This window comes from Homo sapiens, chromosome 5 (assembly GCF_000001405.40).
Source record: "Homo sapiens chromosome 5, GRCh38.p14 Primary Assembly".
Lineage (NCBI taxonomy): Eukaryota > Metazoa > Chordata > Mammalia > Primates > Hominidae > Homo > Homo sapiens.
This window is the reverse complement of record NC_000005.10, coordinates 79674137-79700049: the sequence shown is the minus strand read 5'-3', so window position 1 is coordinate 79700049 and position 25913 is coordinate 79674137. Positions and strand designations below refer to the sequence as shown.

Below are 25913 nucleotides of genomic sequence, written 5' to 3'. Positions count from 1 at the left end.
CCAGTCAGTTATTCAGATAAATAAGGCCTGATCTTCAGATGCCAGCATTCCTCTCTTGGGCTTGGCCCTCCAGCCACAAAGGCTGTATTATCCTGCATCTCCCTGACCACCTAGGATGGTGTCCAGGGACTCCACCAGAATTTTCTTTTAATGAGTCAAGTATGTAAATGCACTAGGGGTCCTAACTCTATCAGATGCTTTAACTCCACATTTGGTTTCAGGCAGTTCTAGTTTATAAGTCAACACGGTTAACTCTGTCCATGCTCAACTTCTCCTTCTGTTTCGGATTCTCTGAGGAGTCAGGGAAATAAGAATGTCACCCCTTCCTGCAGTTATCAGTGACTGAGGCCAGTTTGTAGCCAGTTTTCTGCAGTTTTCTGGGTGATACCCTCGGTTCACTCCTGTTAGCAGGATAGACTGAGGCACAACTATATCACCCAGTCTGCTCTGGATGCCCTCTCCTCTTCTAGGCACCCACTTCCCTCTTTCTACTTTCTAGTGTCCTCTTCTCTCAGGAAAGTAACCTAGATCCTGTATTTGAAAGGATCTATTCAAAAATGGATTCAATTTAAAGCAGATGCTGATAGGCTTAAACCCTCTCAAAGGTGTCTGCATTTCTATTAGTTATTCATCTCTCCCTATGGACTTGCATTTTGCCAGATTCAATGACCACTGCTCAGTTTTCATTCTCCATGCCCTTTATTATCTTGGCACAAGGATAATAAAGAACAAGATGATTTGTTAGGAGGGTGGTAATATGAATGGCGTTCATCAGACAGAAGGAGCTGAGATCCTAGGGATAAAATGTTATAGTGAAACCCAGTACTCATTCATTCAACATCCATTTCTTTTCTCTTTTTCTTTTCTTTTTTTGTTGTTGTTGTTGTTGTTTGAGACAGAGTCTCACTCTCTCGCCCAGGCTGGAGTGCAGTGGTACCATCTCAGCTCACTGCAACCTCTTCCTCCTGGGTTCAAGCGATTCTCCTGCCCCAGCCTCCCAAGTAGCTGGGATTACAGGTGCACGCAACTACGCCCAGCTAATTTTTGTATGTTTAGTAGACATGGGGTTTCACCGTGTTCCCCAGGCTGGTCTCAAACTCCTGATTTCAAGTGATCTACCTGCCTCAGCCTCCCAAAGTGCTGGGATTACAGGCCTTGAGCCACCGTGTCCGGTCACAACCACCACTTATTAGGCCCCTACTGTGTAGCAGGCACTGCGTTCTAGCTGTTGGCAATGCAACAGAGAAGCAAGGCCCCTTCCCTCATGGAATTTACATTCTGGTGGTGTCAATAATAAATAAAATTGCAGATAACGATAGGTGCTATGAAGCGCAATGTGAAATAATGAATGATGTGACCACGGAAGACAAGAAGGGAGTGAACTAAGCCCATGTGGCAGGGCAGTTGAGGAAAGCCCCTTTTATAAAGCGTCATTTGCACCAAAACCTGAAGAGTGGATTTAAAGAAGCATTCCAGAGACAGCAGACAGCAAGAGCAAAGACCTGGATGAGGAACAAGCTCATTAGCCTGCTGGCTTGCATGTAGTGAAAATGGCACAGTGGCTTGAGATGAGCTGAGAGAGGTAGACAGGGGCCAGTCAGGGAGAAAGTGGGAAAGCTGTGGTAAAGACACAGACAGGTGAAGTATCCTGCCCCACGTCACACAACTAGTAAGTGGCACAGCCAGGATGATAATCTTGGTCTTCTCAGTTCTATCAGGTGTTTTTTTTTTTGTTTTTGTTTTTTGTTTTTTAATGCAATGTAACCTGATTTATGCCCAAAATGGTGATGGATGACTAGGGGATTTATTGAAGCTCTTCTTGGAGCTCCCAAAATTCTAAGAAGAGCCGAAGTCAGTTGTCTCAATCTCTTCTCATGTCCTCTTGGAAAAAATAAATAAACAGAAAAACTTCAAAGTTCATGACCCCAAAACTAATATAAATTGTCTTTTAAACAGAGGATCTGAATTTTATACATATTATGGTAAATAACTGTTGCAAGTTTGTTACATGATCCCATACAGCATATAAGGAAGTTATTTGGGTGCTACTATCTTTGGCCTTACGAAAATGCAATCACACTGGATTGCCTAATGTCTATTTTTAAACATAAGACCTACTCTCCTTATTACACATCAGGAAACTTAATATTGCTAAGATGCTAGTCAAGATTAGCTACTATGTAGATTTTTTGGGTCTTTGATGCTTCTGCCTTTAAAAAAGTTTGAAGTAAATTGAAATGATTATTTGAAAATAGCAAAATTGTACTCAAATATAAAAGAAATAAATTGGCTAATAAAAACAGGTGTGTATTATATATATATTACATAATATTGAGGTGAGCCCTGAAATGATGATGGTTCCAGCACAGGCCCTGCCAGTAGACTGGAGTTAGAATGCTAGCTGTGCTACTTACCAGCTGTCTGAAATTAGGTAAATTACTCAATATGGGAATGAAAACAATGCCTATATCAGAGAGCTATTGTAAAAATAACTCAAAATAACAAGTGATAGTGCTTGGAAGAGATTAGATATTCCTTGACTAAGTGACGGTTTCCCTCCTCTTATCTGGGCCTCTGTTCACTCATCAGAAGCATGAGGGTAAGGGAGATGACGTCTGAAGTCCCTTCTAGGATAAGAGTCATCAGCAGCCAGGCTGTCTTGCCAGACTCTCATTACAAGACAGTGAAACCTTTTGCTGTAGGCAGATGGAGGAGGACTAACAAGAGGGACCCAGAGGCTGACTGAAAACTCCCAGGGGAATGAGCAAGGAGGCTTCAGCGACTGGGACTTGAGGGTCCTAGCAGGCCCCTACCTTGGCTTCCTAGGTCTGATTCATTGTACCAATGCATTTGCTGTAGCTAATTACTTATGAGATTATTTATTTAATACCTGCCCTTCCCAGAGGCTAAACTTTGAGGATTAATAACTTCACCTGTTTTGTTCACTACATGTTTATATTGCGTGGCACACAGTAGGCCCACAGTAAATATCTTTTGAATGAATAAGTCTCTTTTCTTACAGTAAATACATTTTTTTTTTTTGAGATGGAGTTTTGCCCTTTTTGCCCAGGCTGGAGTGCAATGGCATGGTCTCAACTCACTGCAACCTCCGCCTCCCGGGTTCAAGTGCTTCTCCTGCCTCAGCCTCCCAAGTAGCTGGGATTACAGGCACCTGCCACCATGCCCGGCTAATTTTTGTATTTTTAGTAGAGACGGGGGTTTCGCCATGTTGGCCAGGCTGGTCTCGAACTCCTGACCTCAGGTGACCTGCCCGTCTCGGCCTCCCTAAGTGCTGGGATTATAGGCATGAGCCACCACGTCCAGCCAATAAAAACATTTCTTTAAATGGAAGAAATTAATTTTATTTATAAACCAACAATTTAAGTGCCCTAGTGAAATCAGCCATTAGGAGGAAATTTGCAGTGAATGTAAATTTCTTTAAAAGTTTTTTAAAATCAAAATTGTATATATTTATGGTATATAACAGTGAATGTAAATTTCTATTTAGCAAGTGAATTTTTCTTAAAAGGAGGCATACTTACAGGAAGAAAACACATTAACAGCTCCCTGAGAGGGCTCTGAGTATTTAGTTTGGTGGACTGAACAGTAGCATCAATTAATCTTCCCACATATCTTGGACTTTATCAGATTAGGATGAAGAATTTTGGAACTGAATCCACTTTGGTTGTCTTAATAGAAAAATTTTCTGAGCAAAAAGCAAAGCCTATTCTTATTTTTCCGTCTATGATCTGGCTGAAGGGTCAGTCTAGGGATGGCTTTCTGACAAGTCACAGAAGGCGGCACTGATGACTGCAGACACCTTAACTGAACAATCCTTCAGTACTTATCACTGTTCCCTCCAAGCTACTGTCTTTCCAGATTCACTGGGCATTGTCAATCCCTGGTAAATGAACTGTCAACAACCAACAAAAATCTTACCTGATCTAACAAGTTCAATATTCCAACTAAACTTGCTTCTTGTAGAAGTCTGGAAGGCTTGCCCTTTACTCAGGCACTCATTTATTCATTTATTTATTCGCACCATTCACTTATCCGATCAACAAATATTCTCAACCTTAAAAAATCCTGAGATGATTCTGGATAATAACAAGAAAGTTTAGACAAAGCAGCAATCAGCAGCACAAGAGCTGGAACCAGGAACTAAAGGAATACCTAACCACATATTGTGCCTGGAATATCTTTCTGCCCAACTGCAGTGTCACTCTACAGGAATCTTTCTAAATCTCATTTTAGGAAGAATGTCTTTGGATATTCCTCTATTAATATCCTTAGTGTAATGCTTATGATATTACATTGAAATTAACCGCTTCCACTCACCAGACTGAGCTCCTTGAGGGAAAACAACTGTGTCATCCAATCCTCTTTGTGTCCCTGGTATCCAGCACAGGGCCTGGCATATAGAATTTATTACCAATGCAGCAGTTCTCTAGATTCCAATGAAGCTAACAGATTTCTAGGTATTATCAGACCTGCATTGTTCAGTATGATAGCCACTAGCTACATGTGGCTATGAAGCACTCGAAATGTGGTTAGGCAGGATGAATTGAGGTGTGCTGTAAGTATTTAAAAAACATCAGAGACTTAGTACAAAATAATGTAAGATATCTCTAATAAGTTTTACACTGATTACATGTTGAAATGGTAATACTTTGGATATTGGGTTAAGTGATTACTAAAATTCATGTCACTTGTTTCTTTCTGCTTTTTAAAATGTGGCTATTAGAAAATTTAAAATTAAATATGTGGCTCACCTTATATTTCTATAGGATAATGCTGGGCTAAATCAAAGGTTATTTTCATGTACAGCCACAACTGGTCTCTTGTACTTGATTCTCTTAAGTCATGTTGGTAGGAAGGGGAATTTGGTTTAATGACTAAAAAAAATTAGGTTTTCATTAAGCCTGTTTTCAGAATATCCAGGGACTATGGACTTTTTTGTGTGTAAAATTTTATCAGTATGTCCTACACTTTTTAGTAAGTTTGCCTTTCTAAAGAAAAAATAGTAATAATTCCAACTCTTGCTGAGTTTAACTCTTCGTTGAGTCAAAGTCTTACCAAGGACATAAAATATCCATGCAGCCAACACTTAAATAGCTCTTCAGTTTCTGGCTACAAGTGACTCTGTTATCTTCTATCCTCCCTCAGCCTCTGGCATCCTGAGCAGTCAACCCCTCCCATTCTGAGCTCTTTCCACTGACCTCAGAAGAAGGCTGGCTCAAATAACACACTTGTCAAAACACCTAGGTAAGCACATCTGTGGGAGACACCATATAAATAGATATATGGAAACAGAGTGCTCTGTACTGATAATGAAAACCATTTACAAATTCCTTGCACCTTCCAAAAGGTTTATTCCTGCAAGGACTAGTTAAATGTGAATGTCACTAATAATTTTAATTCTGTCAGCTTAGACAGACCTGTTTTATAGAAGCACTGGCAAAGCTGCAATTGAAGGTGATTTTTAAGTTTTGGGTACTGCTGTGGCAAAAATCCTCTGTGCTTAAATAGAGAAATGAAAATTGACCAACAGAGAATGACCGAAAATAAAAATGCTGAAAAGTTTCTAAGTGATCTGTGGGAAAGGCTGAAAGAGTTGGCTTTCACTGGTCTACAGCAAGAGAAATACAAAAGTAACAGTCCTATTTACTTCTGTCTCCTCTCCATACAGGAAACCATGAGTTTGGCACATGGTAAGTGTTAAATAAATATTAGTCAAATGAAAATACAAATGTATAGGTGCTTATTATTTAAAGGAATATTGCAATCACTGTGCTTTCCTTGTTTTTTGTTTGTTTGTTTTTATCCTGACTGGTATAGTAGACACAACATAGCTTCCAATTTTACTCAGAATAAAATTCATAGTCCTTACCATGGGCTACAAAGCCCTACATGATCTGCAACCCAACTATCTCTTAGCTTTGACTCTGACCACTCGCCCCATTACCTTACTCTGTTCCAGCATCCTGACCAACTTGCGTTCCTCAAATAAGACACATATCCCTCCCTCAGTGCCCTTGCAGCTGGTCATCCCTTTGCCTAGAAACTCATTCCTTCAGTATCTGCTCAAATGTCACCTCATCAGAGAGGCTTTCTTCACTACCTCATCCAAATATACCCCACCCATTTATCCTGCTATATTTGTCTTCATAATTTCTTACCACTTGACATACTATATGTTTTATTTGTCTCCCCAAACTGGAGTGAGTTTTAGCAGGGCAGAGACCTTATTCATTTTGTTCACAGCTGTATTCCTTGTGCCTAGGAAGTCTCTGGCACATTGTAGGAGTTCAATAAATATCTGCCAAATGAATACATTAATGAACATTAAATTGGAGTCCAGACACCTGGGGTCTACTCCTAATTCTGTTCCAAAAAATTCTGTGGCTGACCGGGCACGGTGGCTCATGCCTATAATCCCAGGATTTTGGGAGGCTGGAGGCAGATGGATTGCTTGGGCCAAGGAGTTCAAGACCAGCCTGGGCAACACGGCAAAACCCTGTCTCTTATAAAAATACAAAAAAGTAGCCAGGCCTGGTGATGCACACCTGTAGTCCCAGCTACTCAGGAGGCTGAGATGGGAGGATCACCTGAGCCTGGTTAGTCAAGGCTGCAGTGAGCCGTGATCACGCCACTGCAATCCAGCCTGGGCAATCAGAGTGAGATCCTACCTCAAGAAAAAAAAAAAAAAAAAATTGTGTGACTTTGAACAAACGACTCCTGACAGTTTCTGAATCTAAAATCAGATCGGTTGAGAACAGATACTTCCAAAGCCTCTGCTAGCTCTAAAATCCTGTGAGTTTTATAATCTGCCTTTCACAAAAGTTCTCCCATGAAGTTTTAGAAACATAAAAATCTTTTTTGATATCCACAAACTACAAGCACTATGAGGCATTTTATTATGATTCAAAACACTGCTCCAATGATGAAGGCTTCTCCAACCCTTCCAGGTAGCATGTATCCCAAGACTTTGAGGTGCTTCATACACACCTTTTCTTCCTTAAATCTCTTCTAACAGCTAATGACATAATTACGTTTTTCTGTTTCTCCAACTAGAAGGTGAATATGAGGACAGTAATGGATTCTTATTTTTGTATCCCCAGCACCTCGCATTGTCTATGGCAAATATTAATAGTAGGCACTCCATGAATGTTTAGTGAATGAATGAATACAAAGTGAAATAGGATCATTATTTATACTGAAAGCTGAGACCATCTCTCCCTTCATGGATGAATGGTGGGCAGAAGGTAGAGCCTTCCTGCTAATAATGACTCATCTGATGGAATAAAAGAAACTAAAGCTTAATGGGAACCTACTAAGAACCAAGCACTCCTACACACATTCACATAATTTATGCAATCCTTATGACAACCTTATGAATTAGGAATTCTTATTATTTTACAGATGAGAAAATTGGGCTCAAAGAGGACAGGATTTTCCCATTATGGAACAACTAATAGGATTCACAGGCCTCTTGATGTTACATGTCACATTCATATCACTGGATGATATATCAGAAGGATAGTTCTCTGATCCAATATCCATGTTGGTGTATGTAAATGATGAGCTTTCCTGCACTACAAAAGCATTTTATAATTAAAGAGAATTTTTCCTCAATTCAGAAAGGTAACTATAGATAATTATATATATCATACCTGAAAGGGTAAAGGAACGTTTACAGATTACTTTGTGTCTTTTGAATTTTTAAAAATGAAGGTTTGCAAACCAAAAATAAAATTCTAAGCCCCCGACCATCTGAGTGGACCCCTCCTTTCAGCAAGGGCATTCCAAAGCTAACCTGAAAAACTCACTCAGGCCGTGATGGTGGAGGTGGGGAGATGGAACATGCCTCACTACACTACACCCCCCTCCCTTTTGGAATTACTGATAGAACAACTCTTTCAGTCTAATAAGAAACACTTACAATCTATTCTCTCTCCAGCTGGCTACCTGGAGGCTTCATCTGCATGATAAAACTTTGGTCTCAACATCCCCTTATCATAATGCAGACATTCCTTTCCACTGATTCCAAGTCTTAAGAGAATAACTTAACTCTTTCAACCAATTGCCAATCAGAAAAAACTTAAACCTACCTATAACCTAGAAGCCCCCATGCCCTTCAGTTTTCCCACCTTTCTGGACCAAACCAATGTGCATCTTACATGTATTTGATTGAGGTCTCATGTCTCCCTAAAATGTGTAAAATTAAGCTGTCCCCCAACCACCTTGGCCACATGTTCTCAGGATCTCCTGCAGGCCGTGTCACAGGCCATTGGTCACTCATATTTGGCTCAGAACCAATCTCTTCAGATATTTTACAGAGTTTGATGCTTTTTCGTCGATACGTGTTTTTCCTAAATCCAGAAGTTTTGCTGACTTCCTGTTACCCTTGTCATCCAATAAAAAATAAATTGGATGCTTTTTCCAGGCCTCCATTTTCCATATTCCCTCATGTGTCCCTCCACTCTATTTATTCTGACCTCTTTCCCTGGTGTCCACCTTACTGTCTGTAGTCAGAACAGGCTGAAGTTTACTGCAGACAAATCACATCCTTTTCTGAAGGCCTTGACCTTTGTCAAATGGCAATGCAACCCCAGAGTGAATGGTCAGCTGCTCACATTTTAGTGTAAATGAGTTTTCAGATTCTCTTGGTTGTAAATTGTGGTTGGGCAAGGATATGAGGATCCCAGACAACAGTAAGGGAAAGGTTATAAAAGCTGAGTTGACAGACTTCCCCTTCTCAACACTGCCAAGGGATCACAGGTCCCCTACTCCCTGATCCACTTCCTACAGGTGCCTTCTCCTCTGCTCTTCCTGTTTGTAGTCCCTGCCCACTACTTCAAGGCAGCTCCAGCCCAACACTCCCTCTTCTGCCCTTGCACAGTACCCATAGTCCTCCCTTCCACCTCTATATAGTCTCACACTCCCCATGTTAGGGAAACGTTTCCCCATAGGGGAAAAAGTTAGGGAAACTTTTTCCACAAGGTCCTTGAGGCCAGGGACTGTGCTTGCTTCCCACTTGGCAGCTGTTTGATAAACAGGTGACATACATTCAGGACTTCTTGTCTGACCATCCATCCTCCTCAATGCCCCTCTATGGGCTACTTCTTCAACATCGGCTCTGCTGGCTTTGATTAGGTAAGCTGGGCGTTCTGAGATGGTACACACCCACCTGCCACCTTCAAAGCCTTTCTACTGTTATGAACAGACTGAGGAAGAGACATCACTGACTGACACACAGTCAGGAAAAAACCCAAAACTCATACTCAAGGAAAACAAGTGAAGGTAGAAGCTAATCCAAATAGACATTAGATGATTTCTATTATTCTCATTTTAGGGCCTTCTTAAAGGGACGGAGGGTGGGAGATCGAAGGGTGGGAGGTGCATCTTTTGTACATAGTATTACTTCATCGCATTCACGGAAACTGATATTTGGGATTTGGGACCAGGACTTGAAGAACAGGGATTACTGAAACTCATGCTTCTTTTCCCCCAAAGAATTTATGGGCCTTTGTATCAAAATAAGGTCACCTTATTGCAGCCTAGCCTACTGCTAGGCCCCCGGGGAGACCGCCATTCATCGGAAGGTACCAGTGCGCCTTCACCGCCTCCACCCCACCCCCTTCTCCTCTAGCGCAGGATTTCGCGATTGTTCCTGTGCCTCGGGCCAGATGTACGTGTTCCAGCACATTTCGGCAGTTATGCAGGACCTAAGTAAATCCTCAGGAATAAACAAGAGCAGCGAGTCACAAGGAGCTGGGGGCGGGGGTAATGAACTCTGCTGCAGGCGGGCCTGTCACTCCAGCTGACAGCGAGCACCTTCACCTTCAAGTTCTTTTAAACGACAGTGCACCCAGAGAGAAAGTGCCTAGCTCGAGGCAAACGAACCCCAGAGCTTAAAAACTTAAAGCAAACAAGCAAGGGTGCTGCTAGCTGCCCTGCAGGCCCTGGGCCGAGGAGAGAGGCTCGCGCTACCTGGAGTCCGGCTCCTCCTCCGACTCCGCCGCCGTCTCGTCCTCCTCGCCCTCCGACTCCTCCTCGGTCTCCAGCTCCCGGGTCGCCTCCTCGTCCCCGTCGGAGCCGAGAAAGCTCTCGCCAGCGTGGTTGCTATCGCGGCTCGCCATCGCCTCTCCCGGGCCTGGGCCGGGGCCGGAGCCGGAGCCGCCCGCGCCGCGCCTGGTGTTCTCCCTCCGACTGCTCTGGCCCCTGCCCTCCCCAGCCCTGCCCCTGCGGGGGCGGCTCGGGTTCCCGGCGCCGGGGGCGGGCGAGCCCCGCGACTTTAAATAGAAGGCGTCAAAGTTTCGCCACCGAGCTTCTGGGGCCCGGGCTCAGCTTCTCCTCTTCCCTGAGCCCTCCCCCGCCCCCGTTTCGCCAGATCCCTGGCGGGCCTTTCGGACAACTGGAGATCACTTTAAGGGGCGCGGGCTCCGGCTGCACCAGGGGGTTCAAAGGAGGAAAGGCAACCTAGCCCCGTCTCTTATTTCCTCCAGAGTGAGTCTTTTCGGTTTTGAGCTGAGCTACTTTCTGGACCCTTTATCCCAAACAATACCCTGAGCTGGGCACTTAACTACCAGGCACTCTGCTAAGGGTCTCGCTTTCATTACCTCGATTCTGTGGTGGTACCTGTAGAAGGTTTTACTGTAGTGCTGGTTTCCCAGATGAGGAAACTGAGACTCCGAAGAGCTCCAGCAGCTCAGGCTGTCATTGCTAGTAAAATGACCCAATGAGAAACAAAGCTAGGCGTGCCCTGCTCAAAAGCCCAGTTTTGAACCAGTGTTCCGTCCCGGCTCTCTTTATATCGCAAGTCAATATACTGTGTATTTTCTTGCTCAGTGGTCCCTGTTATTGAGCCAGGAAACTTTATCTCCACTCATCTTAAACCTTGAGGAGGAGCAATTTCCCCCACGTTAGCAAAAAGCTAAGTTTTGTCTGAAACTGGCCCAAATGCCCCAAACCTTTCCCCGGATCAAGTTGTGGTTAAAACCCCTCAATGGCTTCCCACTGCTCAAAGACTGAACCCCAACACCCTCACAAAGGTAACGGTTGCCTAACAGGCCATGTTTTACCTGTCTACTCTTTTTTTTTTTTTGAGATGGAGTCTTGCTCTTGTCGCCCAGACTGGAGTGCAATGGCGCGATCTCGGTCCAGTGCAACTTCCACCTCCTGGGTTCACGCGATTCTCCTGCCTCAGCCTCCCGAGTAGCTGGGACTACAGGCGCGCACCACCATGCCCAGCTAATTTTTGTATTTTTAGTAGAGACGGGGTTTCACCATATTGGCTAGCCTAGTCTCGAACTCCTGACCTCAGGTGATCTGCCCACCTCAGCCTCCCAAAGTTCTGGAATTACAGGTGTGAGCCCCCACGCCCAGCTGGTCAGGTGTCTTTAGAAGTCAGGAGTTCCCAACATTGTCAAGTCACTCCACTGTGTCTTTATTAACACAATTCCTTCTGCCTCAAAGGTTGGTCCCATTTTTACCAGGATACCCATCATTCAAGATCACCACCTTTCACTGAAATCCCAAAGTTAAACTCAGTACCTCTCTTCCAGGTTCCCACATAATCCTATATTCAAATTATGTTTGTATCTCCTTCCCCAGCAGACTTCGTAAGTTTACTACTCTTCTTTGTCCCATCATCCCCATCTCTTACAAGCCTACACACTAGCAAAGTAGCTAGCACATAGCAGGTACATATAATGGATGCTCCCTGAAGAGAACAGAACCAGAACTGCTATGTACAAATGGAGGTAACTTTACAATAAAGATATTCATTTCATGAGAATGATTTGATGGCTAGAAGAGTTAACATTTATTTTTAATTATAGCAAGTCACAGAGTTGTTAAATATGACTGTAAGCTGGGGATTATTCACCAGTTACACGAGCTGGTATGCATGCATTATGTCTGGAGGTAATGAACTGTAAATCATTGAATTACAGTACAGATACATCAGCTAGTGGGGCATAAGGAGGGAAAACAGCAGAGTCAAGGCTTCCACAGCTCACTAAACCAGGTTTAGCATCAGCAATATTTATTCTCTTAACACCAGCTAGACTTCACCATCAGTAATCCCAAATGACCATGCTCATCCAGTACAAAAGGAATTCAATCACAGCTGTGGCAATCTGTTAAACACTAATCAAAATCACAGGTAGCCATTCTATGTTCCTTCCATCATTTAATTAAAAATTTCTTACAAACATTAATGTCTATGAGATTTATTTGCAAAGATCCTAGTTCAAATCAATCCAAAATTTAGAATTGTAGTACAGATTGCACATTTTAAACACCACTTTAACAACATATGCAAATACAGTCAACCCTCCGTAACCATGTAGGATTTGTGAATTCAACCAGGATGAAAAATATTTGGGAGGGGGTAGGGAGGAGGCAGAATGGTTGCATCTGTACCGAACAGGTATAGACTTTTTGTCTTGTCATTATTATTCCCTAAACAATACAGTATAACAACTATTTACATAGCATTTACATTGTATTACGTATCAGGTAATTTAGAGATGATTTAAAGTATCAAGAGAATGTGTGTAGGATATATGCAAACACTACACCATTTTATATAAGGGACTTGAGTATCTGTGGATTTTGGTATCTGAAGAGGACGGGGTTGACCTGGAATCAATCCCTCAATATACTGAGGGACAACTATATACAGAAATGGACAGATCAACACAAACAGAAAATAATTTAGTACTCACCACACAAATAATTGAGATTAATAACTTAAAAGTCCAGAAAATTCTCTCATATATTAACAGTTCACTTATCTGATATTTGGCCAGTTATGTGTGCATAATTTCAGGCCTCAGTCTACTGATATAGAATTGGGTCTAAGTTTAGTGACTTCTTGATCTGTTTTTCGTGGTAAAACAAAGAAAAGCAGTAGTAAGTGTGGGGCCACTGAAAACTGAGAAAACAGTGACAGTGAAGGAACCCACACCATGGTAAATTCTGGGGTTTTATTAGGAAATGTCATAATACTGTAGAGGCAGAGGGTACATACTTACCCATCCCTGAAAGTTGCACAGTATTACTGAATAGTACTATGACTAATGCTTATAATGATTACCCAGTCATCACTAGAATATTAACTCTACTCAGTACATTCTGATTAAGAGATGCACAGTGTAAATTTTAGGAAAAATTCCCCCCCAAAATATGAAAAGCTCAAATGCATAAAAAGTGTTACACATCAGGAATCTAAAAAATTCACTATGTGTAAACTTTCATTCCTCATAATGCCAGAGACATAAGATATTGATGTCGTTAGCTGGCTAATAAGTAGATTTAGTTCAGTTCTAGATGATAACTACAGCCTCGGTCTCATCTCAAAGCAAAGATTTTCACAGAAAAAAAAGGCACCTCAACAATGTCCATATATAAATTTTATTGCATTTGACATCATACAAAAATTTGAACTTAAGGAAGAAAATGAAAATGTGCACCTTTTACAAGTCAAAGAAAAGCAAAAGTTTTAGCATTTGGTCTGCAAAAAAAAAATACGTTAGAGGTACAAAACTGTACTACAGCAGGTCTAAAAAATGTTGGACATAGTTCTTTTGAAAAAGTTAAAACTGTTTTCAAGGTTACTTTTTATATTTAAATTTACAGGCACTGACCAATTTACAAATATTTACATAAATCAAAAAGACCCTTAATAAACACTGTAGCTTTTTTTTTAGCAGCCACCACTTCTTTCATGTGAAAAAAGAAATACTAAAAAAGAGATTTTTTACAAACATTAAGCTTTTATTTATAATAATTTTATTGTGTCTTATCTAAAACATTTTGTGGTGACTTACTGCCTAAAAATTCCAGTTTAGATTACAATCCTATAATTGTACACAGAAAAATATCTGATACTACAAACAGGATATAATCTTAACTTTGATCTCAGTTTCTGTTGCTTCATGTCACAGAGAAAACAGAGCAGGAAAATGGCAAGTAAAACAGAAGTGCACATTGCACTAAGCTATCGTAAAGCACAGGAAACAATCTTTTCAAAATGTCTACACTGAACTGATTCTTTAAAACGATTCACTAACTGTTGTAAGAGTTAGTGCTCCCATTACTACAGTGCAAAATGTATTGTTGTTTCAATACAAAATTTAAAGCAATCTCAAGAGTACATCAAAAGCATGTGAAGTACTAATGAAATGCTAATACAGACACACCCAAAGCCTCAGTCTATCCCAGTGAGTCAAGCAAAGACTTAAGGCAATTGTTCAGTATTTCATGACTGCAGTGATTTGACTGAAATGAAAGATTTCGTTTTGCTTCAAGTAACTGAACAACTGACTTGAATCTTCACTTTACTAGAACAGACTTTGACAACAAACTATCTAACGTAGGTTATACTTTAAGCATGTATGAATTAGACCCTTTCCAAAATTCTACACATCTCTTCAGGATTAGCATGTGGTACAATTAATTGAAGTTATATCAAAAACTTTTTATTTGTTCAGTTAATTTCCCAAAATATATTTTATCTGATCACCTGAAAACACATGCAATATTACTCATCATCAATGTAAACATTTTTAAAAATACATTTTTAAATCAAAGGGGTTTATTAGGAAATGTCATAATAAAATATGCAATCTTTATATGTCTTTTTAAAAATAAAACATGAAAACAAGAACTATGAAAAAAGCAACTATGATGGAGGTAAACATAATGTATTATGATGAAACTATTGTTCTTTATTTCTTGGAAGAATTTATTAAGAAATAGAGGCCAGTTATCTTTTCAGGACAGCAGCTCTTACAGGTAGTATACTGTTCAAATCTCTCTTGTTTTTCAATCTGTGCCATGACTGGGAGAGAAAGAAAAATCATTCTTAAAACCTAAAATTTATGCAGAACAAAAGACTGAGAGTTTAAAAGAATGTTAATAGTTGGTTCTCTCTAGGTGATAAATTTTGAATAATTTTTTCCTTCAAATTTTTTCTTTTTTTGAGATAAGGTCTCACTCTGCCACCCAAGCTGGAGTGCAGTGGTGCAATCTCGGCTCACTACAACCTCCGCTTTCCAGGCTCAAGAGATCCTCCCACCTCTGCCTCCTGAGTAGCTGGGACTACAGGCGTATGCCATCACGCTCAGCTATTTTTAAATTTTTTTGTAGAGACAAGGTCTCATTGTATTGCCCAGGCTGGCTAAGTTTTTATTTTCCAAGTTTTTAACACAGTGTAAGTATTGTTTCTGTCATCAGAAAAGAAAATGTTATTTAAAAACTCCATATTTTTATGGTTCCAATTCATTAATAAAGAAATGGGCACATAGGTGGTACTGAAAGATACAACTGACAATATTAATATTTATTCACGGATTAATTCAATCTAAAAGTAGCAAGGTAATTAAGACAAAACCTTTGGATTTGAGAAGAGAGGATTATTTCAATTATTTGATTGACTGTCTTACATCTTTACTAGCTTTTTGCATTAAAAACAATAATTATGAGACTGGGTATAGTGTCTCATGCCTATAATTCCAGAATTCTGGGAGGCTGAGGTGGGCAGATCACTTGAGCTCAGGAGCTGAAGGCCAGCCTGGGCAACATGGTGAAACCCTGTCTGTACAAAAAATACAAAAATTGGCTGGGTATGGTGGCACACGCCTATAGTCCCAGCACTCAGGAGGCTGAGGTGGGAGGATCATTGAGCGCAGGAGATTGAGGCTGCCTGAGTCTGGGTAACAGAGCAAGACCCTGTCTCAAAAAAATATATAGTATTTATGAAGGAGAGAGTAAATTTACAATAAGGCACTTTATGTATGCCTCTGGAAAATTCAAATGGTGATTTGAATTGATAAGGAGAAGAAAAGAAACTTGTTCACAAGCTAAAAATCTGTCTCACTACTTGGTGACTGCAGATCTTTGTATTCTAGTCTCATGTCAGTTATTCGATTGTCTAAAAGTATTGGTTTTACAACTAAACAATCCTAAATGAAAGCTCACTCATCAATAAGAACACCAATGTAGCATTGCTAATTTTGAGTTCTCAATTTAATCTGATAAACAAAAATATTCTCTCTTGAATATTTGTTTTAAAATTAAAGAATTTCTTTTTTTTTTTTTTTTTTTTTTTTTTTTTGAGACGGAGTCTCGCTCTGTCGCCCAGGCTGGAGTGCAGTGGCGGGATCTCGGCTCACTGCAAGCTCCGCCTCCCGGGTTCACGCCATTCTCCTGCCTCCCTCAGCCTCCCAAGTAGCTGGGACTACAGGCGCCCGCCACTACACCCGGCTAATTTTTTGTATTTTTTTTTTAGTAGAAACGGGGTTTCACCGTTTTAGCCGGGATGGTCTCGATCTCCTGACCTCGTGATCCGCCCGCCTCGGCCTCCCAAAGTGCTGGGATTACAGGCGTGAGCCACCGCGCCCGGCCAAAATTAAAGAATTTCTATAAGACAAATTTTCTATTCTGGTTGCCAAATTAAGAAAGTCTCATTTGAACGACAGCTTGTAATAGAATACTTATATTTTATCTATTTATTTATTTATTTGAAACAAGGTATCACTCTATTACTCATGCTCAGGCTGGAGTGCGGTGGCACAATCACAGCTCACTGCACCCTCAACCTCCTGGGCTCAAGGCTTTTCTCTCCACTCAGCCTCCCCAGTAGCTAAGACACAGGTGCATACCACTACACCCAGGGGTGGGGTGAGGTGAGGTGGGGTGTGTGTGTGTGTGTGTGTGTGTGTGTGAGCATGTGCGTGCATGTGTGTGTGTGAACTATGTCTTGCTATGCGTTGCCCAGGCTGGTCTTAAACTCCTGGCCTCAAGCAATCCTCCTGCCTTGGCCTCACAAAGTGTTTGGATTACAGGTGTGAACCATTGCACCTGGCCATTATTTTTATTCATTTTTTTTTTAGAGGTGGAGTCTCTCACTCTGTTGTCTAGGCTTGAAGTGCAGCAACTTGATAATAGCCCACTGCAGCCTCGAACTCCTGGTTCCAGTGATACTCATGCCTCAATACTTGCATTTTAAATTATCATTAAAATAAAGTCCACTTGAATGTCTAGATAATGAAAAAGTATGCCTCTAAAATGATCTTTGCGGTTCTCTCATCTTTTTCTTCTACAAAGCTTTCCCTCCCCTCCATGTCTCAATACATATATCAAGGCATTTCTACAATGTGTTGTGAAGTCCCTGAAGATTAAGACCACATCTAGCAACATCACTGATGAATAAATTCATACTATAAACACAGACATATACATAAATTTTAACTTTCCTAAATATAAACAAAGATAAAACAGCACTCTAATTCCTGTGACAGTGGGGTATACATTAGAAAAAGCATGGATCAGACATCAGCTTCCTTCTAAGGCCACAATAAATTCCCCAATACACTAAGGAAGGAAAAGAGTCCATTAGGTTTTATTCACTTATTTTGGAAATTTAATAAGCTCACTACGAAAATGCTTATTTCGGTAGGGCATGGTGGCTCATGCCTGTAATACCAGCACTTTGGGAGGAAGACGGGGGTGAATCACCTGAAGTCAGGAGTTTGAGACCAGCCTGACCAACATGGTGAAACCCTGTCTCTACAAAAAAAAAAAAAAAAAAATTAGCTGGGTGTGGTGGCACTCGTCTGTAATCCAAGCTATCTGGGAGGCTGAGGCAGGAGAATCCCTTGAACCTGGGAGGTGAAGGATGCAGTGAGCTGAGACTGTGCCACTACACTCCAGCCTGGGCAACAAGAGTGAAACTCCGTCTCAAAAAGAAAAGAGAAAATGCTTATTTCTATGAAAGTGAAAGCAATGTGAATAAAAACAGAGCCAGATCTCTTTGAAGGAAAAGTTTAACTAAATTCAAATAATAAGTTCTCTATCATGCTATATTAATGGATTCACAGAAGAGAAACCATTCTGTCCTACTACACACGTATTTTTTCCTGTTTAAAGCATACTAGTCTACTAATGTTTCTAGGGTTGATCTAATGCATTGTTTACCTTTAAAAATTGATCCTTGATCATATCAAATTTCTGCTTTTCGTGCACTGCTCTGGCTGTATTTGTTCCATCAAAAGGTTCTGCAATGTTAAATGCAAATGTAAAGGAAAAATTATTAAAATGAGAGCTACAGTTTCTTTTTTAGGTTTGATACTGTCAATATGTTAACAGTTTTTAACCTACAAAAATTGCAATTTCAGATGGGTCAGCCTAATATCTTTATTAGATTTATGTATACAGAAAAGCTTGATATACTATGAACTGCCTAATAAGGTAGATAGAATTCAAGGGAGAGGGTGATCAAAAATGAAAGTCATCAGCATAGGTGTGTTAAGTCTAAATCATAAATGTGGATAAGGTTTCTGAAAAATTACAGAGGGTCAAAGACCTACCCTTAGGAAAATAATAAAAAGTCATCAAAAAGAAGAAAGCATTATATCGAAGAGAGGCAGTTAATGTTAAATATCACAGAAAGGTAACTTTAATTTTAACTTAAAAGCTGATTTGTCCTTTGAAGGTAGAGGTTCAATACTGGAGAAAATGGAAGACAATGCAGGGAGTTATGGCCCAAGTGGATGGTTTAGAAAAAGATACAGTGAAGTCTGGCCAGACACAGTGGCTCACGCCTGTAATCCCAGCACTTTGGGAGCCTGAGGTGGGTGGATCACAAGGTCAAGAGATCGAGACCATCCTGGCCAACATGGTGAAACCCCACCTCTACTAAAAATACAAAAATTAGCTGGGCATGGTGGTGCGCGCCTGTAGTCCCAGCTACTCGGGAGGCTGAGGCAGGGGAATCACTTGAACCTGGGAGGTAGAGGTTGCAGTGAGCCGAGATCACGCCACTGCACTCCAGCCTGGCGAAAGAGAGAGACTCCATCTCAAAAAAAAAAAAAAAAAAAAAAAAAAAATCAAAGAAAAGAAAAAAGAAGTAACTTGCATGAGAAATTTGGCAGAAAAAGAAAACAGAAAAAGAGAAAAGCAAACAGAAGACAGGAAAAAAACAAAGGAACAGTTTTTATGTATGTGTGTCTCCAATATATATACTTTCCATGTTCACACCACCATCCCACTCACCTTTCACCCACAAAAGTGAAGAATCCATATAGAGAGACAGGAAGAAACCAGAAGAGTACGAGGAAACTGAAGATAATAATGAGAAGACAAGGATAACTAAAGGCATCAGGAATGAGATGAAATGTCTTAAATAATGCCAGCAGTAGGTAAACATTACTAGAAATTAAGAATTTTAGCATGGAAAAAGGAGGAAAAATGCACAGAAGAACCAGTAGGACCAAATAAAGAGTATTTTTCAAGAATGAGAAGACCTATGTATGTCTTAAAGCTGAAAGCGAAAGACTGGAGGCAGAAAGAATGAAGTTGTTGGTAAGAGGAAAGGTAACCGAGGGGAAAGACCTAGAAAAAGTACGGAAGAATAGGGAGTCTGATGGAAAGGTCAAAACTTTTAGATTTGTCATATAATCTACACAGGCCCATAATTTTAAATACTCCTCTTGCTTATTTTTTAGTGCTTAGAAAGGCTATGTTAAAAAGCAGTTTACCATCACAGTATCGTGGGGTTCTTTTCCTTAACAGAATAAGGTCATATGCCAAATTATACTGAATTGCATCATCATAGCACTTTAGAACAGGGTTTAGTATTCAACTGAACACAAGTAACTAAAATAATGCCCACCCAGTGCCATTTATTAGCACACCAAAGCAGGAGATTTAATTTCATATTCACAAACTCTTAAAATACTGCATATAATTCAAGATTAAAACATCCAAAATCTGATGTTTTCTACAAATGCTGATTCTCAACTATTTATACTTTTTAACCTCCAGATTTACAAAGGCCTTCAATTTAGCATCTATGAGAATAATTTTGTCCCTTGAAGTCAGTTTTCTACTCACTCAAAGTGTCTCAAGGATATATTCAACTACATGTAAATTAATTTTAGAGAAGAAAATTTCTTCAGATCATTTAATTTTTAAAGCAACATCAATTTCTATTAATAAAAGTCCAACTTGCACTAATATTTTAAGTATAAAAGAATATAACTCATTTTATGTCAATATAAGAATCACATATAAAGATTCTATTTTCTTCCATCTGTAAGTCATGAAATTATCCATCAACCACAAGTAAGAGGGATAAAGACAGCTCGAATCTTACCAACTAGAAAGGGTGAATGCCTAAAGTTTATGTTTATTATTTCTCATACCTAAAAAATTTTAAATGACTTTTTAAAATTAAAAATTTTAAACTAAAAGACTTACAAATCACTTCAGACATAAATGTATTACTTTTAACTGAAACACAGCTGAAATTACTCAAGTAATTCTCTTAGTACCATGATGATACGTAGATGGTAAACAGAAAACTACCTTCTACACAGATGTATTTATTTCTCCATTCAATACCATCAGGCCTTGGAATGGCTTTGGCTTCACGAACTGAAATCATTTGACTATTCCAGCTATAAGAAGAAAAACAGTAACCATGTTAACTATTTTCATAATTTCTCTTATATTATTTTTATTGTATCAATACTAAGGCCTACCCCAATTTTCTTGTGGAACACTGAAACCTGTGCCCCAACCCTCAGCACCACAATCCCTATTTCCCACCTCTATATTTTTTTTTCCACAACACTTATCATCTTCTAAGAATTTGTTTCTTACATTTACTATTTATTATGTTATTCTTCATTGTGTCTCCCTCAAGTAGGATGAAAGCTCCAAGATACTGGATATTTCTTTTTTTCACTCTTCACCTAGGTGCATAGTACATACCAGGTTTTCAACACATATTTATTGAAAAAATGAAGTAACTGGAAAAATAAGAAAGTACAGGCTGGGCGCAGAGGCTCACTCCTGTAATCTCAGCACTTTGGGAGGCTGAGGCAGGTGGATCACGAGGTTAAGAGTTCAAGACCAGCCTGGCCAAGATGGTGAAACCCCATCTCTACTAAAAATACAAAAATTAGCCAGGCGCAGTAGCGTGCACCTGTAGTCCCAGCTACTCAGGAGGCTGAGGCAGGGGAATCGCTTGAACCCAGGAGGCGGAGGTTGCAGTGAGCAGAGGTCATGCCACTGCACTCCAGCCTGGTGACAGGGCGAGACTCCATCTCAAAAAAAGAAAAAAGAAAAGAAAAGAAAAGAAAGTACAAGTAAACAAACAAAAACAACTATGGTCATAGTTAACAACGCAGTAACAATCTGTTATTTGTTAAGACAGAAGTAATCTTCTAGTGTTATCTTCTTGTGTTATTAAATAGTTTTTGTTCAGGTACATCTTTATGTGTATGATTTGGGAGAAAATTTTGAAATTTTCGATAGAAGTGGATGCTGTTTTAGGAAAGCAAAATTAATACTCTATGAAAATATACTTAATGGCTGTATATCAGATGCAGCTGTTAAGAGTAAAATTTTATTCAAGTAAAACAATCTCATCAGCAGGCCTGTCCAGTATTTAGTACATACTAACTTTACATTTTTTTAAAAAGGTTTATCTAACAGTTATTACAAGTATTTTCTTTTTTTTCAAGGAACATTTTAAAGTATATGACTACCCAGCTTGTATATGAGAGAAAAATAAATTTGAGGAACAGCTGATACCATTTTTTAAGTAGTATTTAACTTTCTCTACCATTTAAGCAAGCAGAGAAAGACTATCACTTGGGACCTTCCAACACTTACCCTACACTTCTCCTCTATTTATCAAAAAGAGAATTTCTAAGAATATAATCATGGGTCCTGTATGGCATTTGTTTATAGAAATTTGATTAATTTCTATATTAAATAAGCATGAAAAATCTTGCATCTTGTGAATTTTGATTCTTGTAAAGCACACTGAAAGTATAATTTATTTTTGTTCCGATCAAGAGGAGTTTGTGAAAGTTTTAAGTTCTTTAAAAATATATATAACAGGATTTGTGCTTTTTAAAAATTAAGTGGGTTGTCAAATGGAAATAGTATTGGTTACAGGAAAATGTTTTAGATCCCTCATGTATTGCAGTTCATTAGTACAGACTCCAAACAGAAAGACTACTCTGCTCTATTGTTTCAAATGTCTCTACTAAAAATCCAAAAAGTAGCAGGCGTGGTGGCGCCTATAGTCCCAGCTACTCAGGAGGCTGAGGTGGAAGGATCACCTGAGCAAGGGGAGGTTGAGGCTGCAGTAAGCTGTGATCGTGCCACTGCACTCCAGCCTGACTGACAAAGTGAGACCCTATCTTAAAAAAACAAAAAACAAAAACATCCACACAAATGTTTCCAACAATTTTCTTACATTGTTTCTTTACAACAACAATGTGAAGAGGGGAGTTATATAGCCACAAACCTGAAGCAAACAAGGTTACATACTACAGTTTGCATCCCTTCACTTTATACTAGTTAAGTCAAATTTATTAACAAAATGAATTTTCCCTTGAGACTATTTGTTTTCTAATAACAGATTATAGGACAACTAAATCTGCAGAATTAAAACTGTAAACATTATTTTTATAGGGCATAGATTGATTTTTAACTTTCAGAAGAGTTTGGAATATTGAAATACAATATCTTGCTGTTAAATTACAACTTTTATTTCCTTAAATCAAAAATTCTATCTTTACCACTGTATTTCTATTAAAACAAATCCTGATTTTACACTACATGCCACTACTTGGTTCTAAACTGGGTCACAGAAACAGTATGAGATATATGTTAATAGATATATTCATTTTATTATAATCCCTTACCAGATATCATTTAAGTTTCAATGTACAATAAACCCAAATAATGCAGTTATTAAAATGATTATATCATTTGAAGTGCTTCAAAAAGAAAAAAGAATATTTTGAATCACTACTATTTGGACTGATTCAATCTACTGCATTTTCAAAGAACTTTTAAATATTTCTAGATTGTTAAACATTTCAAATCATTAAAACGTGACATATAATTGTATACTCTTTGTACTCTAAAGGTAGATTTAGTTATATATTTTTTGAGACAGGGCTTTGTCGACAAGCCCAGGCTGGGGTACGGTGGCACAATCATGGCTCACTGCAGCCTCAATCTCCTGGACTCAAATGGTCTTCTCAAGAGTTGAATTTAAATGGTAATTTAGAAATATCTTCCCTAAATATTTCATTCTTTAAAACACAGCCCATAACCTAAGCCTTTTATCATACTAATCTACTCTCTAACATAATTTGCTTAGCATGTAAAAATTGTTATCGTCACTCAATAATTAAAGTGTAAAATAAGATACAGAATCTACACAAGAGAGATGTTTCAGAAAGAAGAACAGATATGGGGCTTAATTTAATCTAAAATACACTGATAATACATGATCATCTTTTAAATATAAAACTGAGACAACCAATTATATTAGAAGCAAGTTAGGTACTTGCTTCTTTGGTAATGTTAACAGACTGGCATTCATCAATAAACTCTCTTTAGCCATTCTTTTTATTTATTTATTAGTCAGAGTCTTGCTCTGTCACCCAGGCTGGAGTGCAGTGACGCAATCCCAGTTCACTGCAACCTCCGTGCCTCCCAGGTTCAAGCAATTCTCCTGCCTCAGCATCCCGAGTAGCTGGGATTACAGGCGCCCACCACCATGCCTGGCTAATTTTTGTATTTTTAGCAGAGACGGCATTTCACTATTTGGCCAGGCTGGTCTCAAACTCTTGACCTCAAGCGATCTGCCCACCTCAGCCTCCCAAGGTGCGTGAGCCACTGTGCCCAGCCCCATTCTTTTTGTGACCACAGAAAGTATTTTGAGGCAACTGATTAAACTGGAAATGCTGTCTTAAGCGACATAAAGAAAAATTCAAGTCTAATAAAGTCAAAATTATGAGTCTGATACCATATGGCTGTGTGTGTGTGTGTGTGTGTGTGTGTATACATATATATGTATATATATATGTATATATACTAGTAAAATTAAGTGAACAAATATATATAATTTTGTTTTATTGTTATGGGCTGGGAAGCAAACAGAAAGAAAACTTGGTTAAGAATTTCAAATGTCGTAGGTAGGGAAAAAATTTTACTCTAATCCTAGAGTTCTGTTTTGACTGGCTTCTCATCTTCTATCTGAACCTTTAAATGTTAGTATCCATCAGGGCTCAGCCTCTTTGAATCTTCTAATGCTAGAGTACACACCTTAGGCTCCAATAATCTGATGTTTCTTTCCCAAATCCTTTTTCCAGCTCTGACCTTTCTAGTAAGTTCCAGGCTAACATTTACAACCAGCTATTGGAAACTGTCACCTGGATGTCCTATAGGCATCTCTGTGCCCACATTTTCAAGACTGAATGTAATATATCCCATGCATGGTCAGTTATTAAAATCACTCCCTTTCACATACTCTCAACTCTTACCCACTCTTGCTGCATTGAACTTAGTTGGCTGAAACACAACCCTGATTAAATCTACTCCCCAATTCTTTCCCACGCAGCTGAACATGGGTGGAGAGATGCAACCATACAGAATGATCACACTTTAAATTAATGATCACTTAGCTAAAGAGGGCTCTTAATGTTACTACCCCCAACCGTACTGTCTTTCCATAGTTAATCCACCCTTTTACTCTAGTATATGACAATTCATACTTTCGTCTTACTTCTCAAATTTCCACCTTCACAATCATTACCTGCACATGTCCCTGACTCATTTCACTAAAAACCTAAAACAATCCAAAGATAATTCCTACTAGCTCCAACCACACTGATTCAGCTACATTTACCTGTGTCCATATATTCTACTTTTAATCTTTATTAATGAATTATCTGTGCTCCTATTCTATTTGTGCTCTAGATTCCAACCATTCTTAACTCAAACAAGTTTATTTCCAAAAATTTACTATACCTTTCTCTGGTATCATCAATTTTTCATCAAGATGGGTTATTTCTCCTCTCCAACAATAAAAACAAAAACTGGACTCCACTTAACACTCTAATTTTACCCTGTTTTTTTCTGCTCTAGAGAATGAGTTACATTATCCATATTGAATTATTCTCCCTCTGTCTTCTCGAGTCCACACCAATAATGCTATGCTTTTTATCCCCATTATTCCACAGAAACTGTTCCTGTCAAGGGTCCAGAGGAGTCCATATAGCTTCTTACTCAATCTATCAAAAAATAATGACACAGATAATCACTCCTTCCTCCTCAAAACATTTTTTTCTCCTCTGGATTCCCAAGATACCACATTCCATTGGATTTCCTCCTATCTCAATGATTCTTTCTTCCTAGATAGACTCATATATTAGTTCCTTCTCATCCCCAATCTCATTTTTATATCATCTATGTATTATGAAAAATTTCAAATACAAAAAAAATTAAAAGTATAAAATTTAAAAACAATTCAACAAGTGTTAACATTTTGCCACATTTGTGTGTGTGTGTATTTTGAACTGAACCACTTAGTAACCGGTACACATCAAAGTTCATTTCTGTATCCTTCAGTATATATCTCCTAAGAATAAAGCCATTCTCCTTTATAACACCAACAGCAATTAGAAAATTAACAGTAACTCAAATACCTTTTATAGTTCCCCCACCCCAACTGGATTATAATAAAGGTTCATGCATTGTATATGACTGTTCTATCTCTTTAAATCTAATAAAGTTCCCCTCACATTTTGTTTGTTTGTTTTTTAGGAGGGGGTCTCGCCCTGTCGCCCAGGCTGGAGTGCAGTGCCCAGGGCTGGAGTGCGGTGGCGCGATCTCGGCTCACTGCAACCTCCAACTCCTGAGTTCAAGCGATTCTCCTGCCTCAGCCTCGTGAGTAGCTGGGATTACAGGTGCCCGCCACCACACCTGGCTAATTTTTTTATTTGTAGTAGAGATGGGGTTTCACCATGTTGGTCAGGTTGATCTCCAACTCCTGACCTCATGATCTGCCTGCCTCGACCTCCCAAAGT

General features: G+C 39.3%; 2 protein-coding genes across 82 annotated transcripts in view, besides 1 other annotated feature; both read right to left on the bottom strand.

The window, feature by feature from the left end:
• The window catches only part of CMYA5 (cardiomyopathy associated 5), a 110387-nt gene extending 100173 nt beyond the window's left edge, over positions 1-10214 (bottom strand). For all 3 annotated transcript variants that reach the window (XR_001742036.3, NM_153610.5, XM_047416911.1), the window contains exon 1: positions 9994-10214. Coding sequence is in view for 2 of the 3 variants with exons in the window: in NM_153610.5 (NP_705838.3) it covers positions 9994-10142 (149 nt within the window). In the remaining variant the exon portion in view is untranslated. The remainder of the gene's footprint in view (positions 1-9993) is intronic.
• Positions 10203-10704: an enhancer, noted in NCBI's record as "H3K27ac hESC enhancer chr5:78985169-78985670 (GRCh37/hg19 assembly coordinates)". NCBI's record gives its function as "activates a minimal SCP1, AML or CMV promoter by ChIP-STARR-seq in naive H9 embryonic stem cells {active_cell/tissue: H9 hESC(naive)}" and the evidence as "EXISTENCE:reporter gene assay evidence [ECO:0000049][PMID:30033119]".
• The window catches only part of TENT2 (terminal nucleotidyltransferase 2), a 75806-nt gene continuing 61696 nt past the window's right edge, over positions 11804-25913 (bottom strand). For all 79 annotated transcript variants that reach the window (XM_011543221.4, XM_047416850.1, NM_001388126.1 and 76 more), the window contains 3 exons: positions 20380-20471; positions 17989-18068; positions 11804-14851 (listed from right to left, as the gene is read on the bottom strand). In XM_011543221.4, the coding sequence (XP_011541523.1) occupies positions 14777-14851; positions 17989-18068; positions 20380-20471 (247 nt within the window). In that variant the 3' untranslated portion in view covers positions 11804-14776. The remainder of the gene's footprint in view (positions 14852-17988; positions 18069-20379; positions 20472-25913) is intronic.